The sequence below is a fragment of the Homo sapiens genome, chromosome 9, assembly GCF_000001405.40.
Source record: "Homo sapiens chromosome 9, GRCh38.p14 Primary Assembly".
NCBI lineage: Eukaryota > Metazoa > Chordata > Mammalia > Primates > Hominidae > Homo > Homo sapiens.
In genome coordinates this window covers 98,929,931-98,935,930 of record NC_000009.12, presented here as the reverse complement: position 1 = coordinate 98,935,930, position 6,000 = coordinate 98,929,931, and the positions used below count along the sequence as shown (strand labels likewise).

The following is a 6,000-nucleotide window of genomic DNA, read 5'->3' as shown; positions in this document are numbered from 1 at the left end:
AAATTGAAGGTCCTATATGATAGCATAGGAGCTAGATCTATTGGGAAGGCAAACCTAAGCAGTGCAGGGAGTAAACTACGCCACACATCTCTAATGCACCATTTCAAATTCTCTGAATTTCCTGCCTCCAAGTGGTCATTCATTCCAGCCACAGCCATTGCTGCAGAGATCAACTCACCAGGGACTCCAATCAATTACGGGTAAAACTGGCAGTGCCTTCATTTTTGCACAAAGTGTATAACTCTCACCTCATACTTAGGGACTTCTATATTAATCCTGAGACATGAGATGCTGTAGGGTTCATTTAGTGCCCACACATAAGCAACTTGGAAATGCGAAGGAAATAATATGTGGCCAGCTTCTGAACAATGAGAGATGGAAACCAGTGGATGACTATTTCTCCCTCCCTATCACACATCAGCCACCCTGAGCAGCAGCTTCTCAAAAAAACGTCCCACAAGACTGAGGACTCATCTATATATAAGACCTGTTATTTGCTCTTACTTCTTCCCTGCTTCTTTTCCCCCTCCCTCTTTCCTGGAACTGAACTTCATAAATTGGCACAGAAGTCTTTGCCTCAGGCTCTGCATTTTGGGAAACCCAGCTAAAGGCAGAGTGGCAAGAGCTGATAAGCACCATCAAGATAGTGTGAGGCCAGAAGTTCTGTGTGATGAAGCAGCCAGTGAAATATTTCCAGCATGGGGGTGCCCCCAGAACATTTGCAAAATCCTAAGTCTAATGCTTGGTTTGCAGCTGTTTGCATTCCAGCAAATGGAAAGCCCTCCTGCAATGACCCTTCCCCCAGCAACCACAACAGCCTTCACTCAAGTTTGCCCGACACACGAATGCTTTATAAAAATGGACTTTTGTGGATATCAACTGAGACATTAATACAACGTCTTGGTCAATAGAACAGAACAAAGTTTGCACACATGGGATGCTGTGATGAGTTATAACCAGAACTTAGAAACAAGAGCTCAGCATCAGAGGTGAACATAAGAAGATAAGCTTTCTGGGAATGTGCTTAAATATTGAAAATGGCTGTGGGCTTCCAAAAACCACAGAATAGGGGGAGATAGAGGCCATTCCCAAGGGACAAAGAAGTCCCCATCCAACATCTGACAAATGAGCAATATAAAGTATCCAAAATCAGACAACAGGGGTTTAAATCCAGAGACTGTTCTTTACCAGCTGGAGCTGTACCCCTCTTCTTAGAAAATAAGTGATGGGGCCGGGTGCGGTGGCTCACGCCTATAATCTCAGCACTTTGGGAGGACGAGGCGGGCAGATCACGAGGTCAGGAGATCAAGACCATCCTGGCTAACACGGTGAAACCCCGTCTCTACTAAAAATACAAAAAAATTAGCCTGGAGTGGTGGCGGGCGCCTGTAGTCCCAGCTACTCGGGAGGCTGAGGCAGGAGAATGACGTGAATCCAGGAGGCGGAGCTTGCAGTGAGCCTAGATCGCACCACTGCACTCCCTCCTGGGCGATAGAGCAAGACTCCATCTCAAAAAAAAAAAAAAAAAGAAAGAAAAAGAAAAAAAGAAAATAAGTGATGGGAGGCCGAGATGGGAGGATCACTTGAGCCCAGGAGTTCAGAACCAGCCTGGGCAACACAGCAAATGGCTCAGTCTCTGTGCCTCAAGTTTCATGAATTAAAAAATAGTAATAACGATAGAAAATTGTTGAATGTGTGAAATTAAATGACTCTGGCATTTAACATGTCACTAAACATTTTTTAATTTTATTATTATTTAATAATAAATTTATTATTTTATTATTATTTAATAATAATTTTATTATTTTATTATTATTTTAAATAATAGAGGCCATTTATTTTTAATAAGAGGCCAATTATTTTTAATTAATAATAAAATAATAAATTTATTAAATAATAATAAATTAAATAATAATAAATAATAATGTTTATTAGCATTAAATAATACAAATATCTGTCTAATACAAATAAAAGGCCCAGATATACAGTCATAGAATATCAGATCTAGGCCAGGCACGTTGGCTTACACCTGTAATCCCAGCACTTTGGGAGGTCAAGGTGGGCAGATCACTTGAGGTCAGGAGTTCGACCAGCCTGGCCAACATGGTGAAACCCCATCTCTATTACAAAATACAAAAATTAGCCAGGCATGGTGGTGTGTGCCTGTAATCCCAGCTACTCAGGAGGCTGAGGCATGAGAATCGCTTGAATCTGGGAGGCGGAGGTTGAAAAAAAAAAAAAAAGAATATAAGAATATCAGATCTAAAAGCGTGCTCAGAGATCTTCAAGCCTAGCTTCCACTCATGCCCAGAGAGAAGAAGGGGATTGCCCAGGGCCACTGTCAATCCAGGGCAAAGCCAGAGCCAAATGTCCTGACTCCTATCCAATGCTCTTTTCTATGCCTTTTGGGCCTCCTGCTCAGTTTCCCCAGGCATTCGGGGTCAAGACCACTACAAATAAGAAGGACAACTGGAAATGCATATCCATGTTTATCATGTGTCTTCAAGTCTCTGCATGCTCTGCTAAGCACTGCCCTAGAGGGTGTCACTCCACCAAACAACATTGGTCAGCCACGGTTCAGACTGGTGTTTTTTACCTGTGGCCCGCCTGCATCAGAATCATTTTGTGGAAAGCATGTTAAAAGTACAGATTTCTAGTCTCTACACAAAACCTATCAAATCAGAATGTCTATAGGTGCGGGCTCGAGAATTGCAATTTTAAGAAGCTCCCTGGTCTTTCTTATGCACGCTACAGCTTCACTGCCATTGACCTAAAGTTTCACACTTCTATTTCTCATGGCACCTGGTTCCTGAATTCTATCTTGGAATTTCTTGCATTAGGTAGAAATAGTATTCCAGCGTGGGGGTAGCCCCAGAACGTTTGAGACATCATAAGTCTAATGCTCTGTTTGGAGTTTTGTTTTGTTTTGTTTTGAGGAGTTTTGCTCTTGTTGCCCAGGCTAGAGTGCAATGGCACGATCTTGGCTCACTGCAACCTCCGCCTCCCGGGTTCAAGCAATTCTCCTGCCTCAGCCTCCCAAGTAGCTGGGATTACAGGCATGCACCACCACGCCTGGCTAATTTTGTATTTTTAGTAGAGACGGGATTTCTCCAGGTTGGTCAGTCTGGTCTGGAACTCCCGACCTCAGGTGATCCGCCCGCCTCAGCCTCACAAAGTGCTGGGATTACAGGCGTGAGCCACCGCGCCCAGCCTGTTTGGAGTATTTAATACTGTCTCCTACGATGATGCATTTGAACTTTTTAGCTCAGACAAACTGCCAAGACCTCTCTTAGATGGATTTTCCCATTTGCCACACCCTTGGAAAAGCAAGAAAAAAATGTATTCTGTTGAGTTAAGGCCTTTAGGATCCAAGATTTCGGAAAGAAAGCAGCCAAGAGCTAGAAGGGACCTTGTACCTGATCCCAAGCCCAATCCAACCAGAGGCTCTGCTGTACAAATTTATTTAATTTAAAGAAATAAGACAACTAAGGAATCTTCTAGGTACCATTTGACCACACAAGGAGGCCTGTCAAAGAGTTTGTGGGCAAAACGCCACACGTTTGGGCTGCTTGCCTTCCATTCTACCCCAGCTCCCTCATCAGTGCACCAGACAATGACTGCCGCTTCCACAGTATCTGTAAAGAAGGATGGGGCAAATGTAAAAAGCACTACATTTAACTGCTATTTTTGTCTCAAGGAGGATGAGGGTTGATAAATGTGTCCTTGAGATAAGCCAGAGACGGCAGGACATAAAATCTGTCCAAAGAGATAGTTTTTTTGGCTTTTTTTTTTTTCTTTCTGAGACAAGGTCTTACTCTGTCACCCAGGTTGGAGTGCAGTGGGGTGATCACAGCTCACTAAAGCCTCAACGGCTGGGGCTTAAGCAATCCTCCCACCTCAGCCTCCCAAGTAGCTGGGACTACAGGAACACACCACCATGCCCAGCTAATTTTTAGATTTTCTTGTAGAGATGGAGCCTCCTTATGTTGCCCAGGTTGATCTCAAACTCCTGGGCTCAAGCCATCCACCTATCTTGACCTCCCAAAGTGCTGGGATAACAGACATGAGCCACCGCACCCGGCCCTGATAGGAGTTTCATCACAGATTAAGTCTTCATGTTCCCAAATGGCAGGGCCACACCTTACTCTTGAGAGTGGCCAGTGGTACAGCTGACAAAAAATACAGACTTTCTCTGTTCCCCTTTATCTGCCTCACTGCCTCCTGCCCATCAACTGTTAGAAACAGCTCTGCTGGACATGACTGTGAAGTGTGGTCACTCGGAGCTGCCACAGGTTGTGGCTTCCTCTTCCCTCAAGCCTAGAGACTCAAGAGTTTGCCACAGGTCAGTAGCATTCCTAGGGGGCACTTGGAAATATAAGGGTATGGGGAGTTTCTTTTGTCACAATGAATGCAGATGTTAGTGGCATTTGGCAGGCCAAGGATGCTAAATTCTGCAATGTAAGAGGCAGGCTACCTAACAGAGAACTAGCCCAGCAAAAATACCAACTGTGCTCCACTGAGAAATGCTACCAGATTGTGGCTCTTAATCTTTCTTAACTGAGACCCTTGGTCTCACAATCTCAAAAACACACTTCTGAAACAAAGGTTTCATGTAGCAATATTTGCCCATACTACATGTAACGCATTCAGATATTTTCTACTCTGTTGTGCTCCGTTATATTTTTTTTAAAAAGGCTGATCAAAACCCGTTCAATAGATTTCATGATGCACAAATAGGCCACAACCCATACTAGGGTGTGATGATTTCAAAACTCTTCATCAGCCCGAGAGGGTGGAAATATATGGAATGAAACTCACCATAGGAATCGTTTGTCTGCTCTCACACACACTACCTGACCTAAAAAAATCTCAGGGCTAAAGTGAAAGCCCCAGTGACTTCTAACGAGCTAAATCTGACTTGCTCTGTCTCCCACAACCAGATGGCCAAAGAGAGACAAACAATCGTGCATTGCTGAGGGCCGTGGTTCTTTCAGGGCTCTGCTCTCTGAAGCGGGTGGCCCATGTGTTTTGTGTTTCCCCGAATGGGTGGATCCGACCCATTCAAAGGCTCTTGCATCACAGTGGACGATGAAGCTAGCCACAATGGGAGTGGGGGCTGAGGACCCTCAATTAAGCCAAAAGGTCTTAAGTGAGTATTTCTCAGCAACATCGAGCCATAGCACCTTACGCCAGATGGGCAGCCCGGTTCTCCAAACCCATTGCAAAGTTCCCTACCACACAGGCAAGCTATGCGGGTCCTAAAGAGACAGAAACCGCACAGGAATAGATGCTGCCCAGGAGGCTGAGGGCTGGGCCAGGTTCAAGGGGTGGAGCCTGTGGCAGTGGTTGGTGGAAGAACCAGCCGCTCTTTGACCATGTCAAAGTCTTCATCACAAATTAAATTAATCTGATCCCTTTTTCCAACTGCTTCCTCCTAATAGTTTTACCATGCTCTTAACAACCACCATATCAACATGTTATTGTTAAAGGATTTAAAGACACCATGTTCGGAAAACGTGGTCCACCCCACACCCTTCCATGGTTATTCCTCCCTAGCTTGGCTTATGCTTTTTCTGCTTCTCGGATTTTGTGGCTCAGTGTTCCCACATGTAGAGCCCTCATGTAAGGTGCCGCACATTCCCTCTGCCAGCAGCCTGGTGTCACCAAGAAGCCAGACCCCACCCCGTTTCAAACCCTACCCCCATCACTCCAGGCCCTGAGGAACCCAGCCCTACCAGGGCTCCCGTTTTTAATGACTCATGAGATTTCGTAGGTTTCCCATCCAAAATGCTGACAAAATACAACCTTGGTGCGCACTGGCCTCTGTTCTTACAATCTAAACAAGATGCCGCTGACCCACATCTGTCTGGACCTTTACAGTTCCCTCACTACTTACGTCACATGATTATCAAAACAGCCCCGGGGGTGTGGAAACAGACTCAGGGGTTAAGCAGCAAACGTTCACAAGGTCAGCTGGTTGATAAAGGGCAGAGCTGGAGC

At 45.1% G+C, this 6,000-nt stretch overlaps 3 annotated features.

Moving 5' to 3' along the window:
* Positions 470-764: an enhancer, noted in NCBI's record as "tiled region #4619; K562 Activating DNase matched - State 5:Enh". NCBI's record gives its function as "activates a minimal TATA promoter and a strong SV40 promoter by Sharpr-MPRA in K562 cells {active_cell/tissue: K562}" and the evidence as "EXISTENCE:reporter gene assay evidence [ECO:0000049][PMID:27701403]".
* Positions 470-764: a silencer, noted in NCBI's record as "tiled region #4619; HepG2 Repressive non-DNase unmatched - State 22:ReprW". NCBI's record gives its function as "represses a minimal TATA promoter and a strong SV40 promoter by Sharpr-MPRA in HepG2 cells {active_cell/tissue: HepG2}" and the evidence as "EXISTENCE:reporter gene assay evidence [ECO:0000049][PMID:27701403]".
* Positions 3,448-3,960: a transcriptional cis regulatory region, noted in NCBI's record as "candidate enhancer chr9.1708 targeted for multiplex CRISPR interference". NCBI's record gives its function as "positively regulates COL15A1 gene expression with high confidence in K562 cells {active_cell/tissue: K562}" and the evidence as "EXISTENCE:mutant phenotype evidence [ECO:0000015][PMID:30612741]".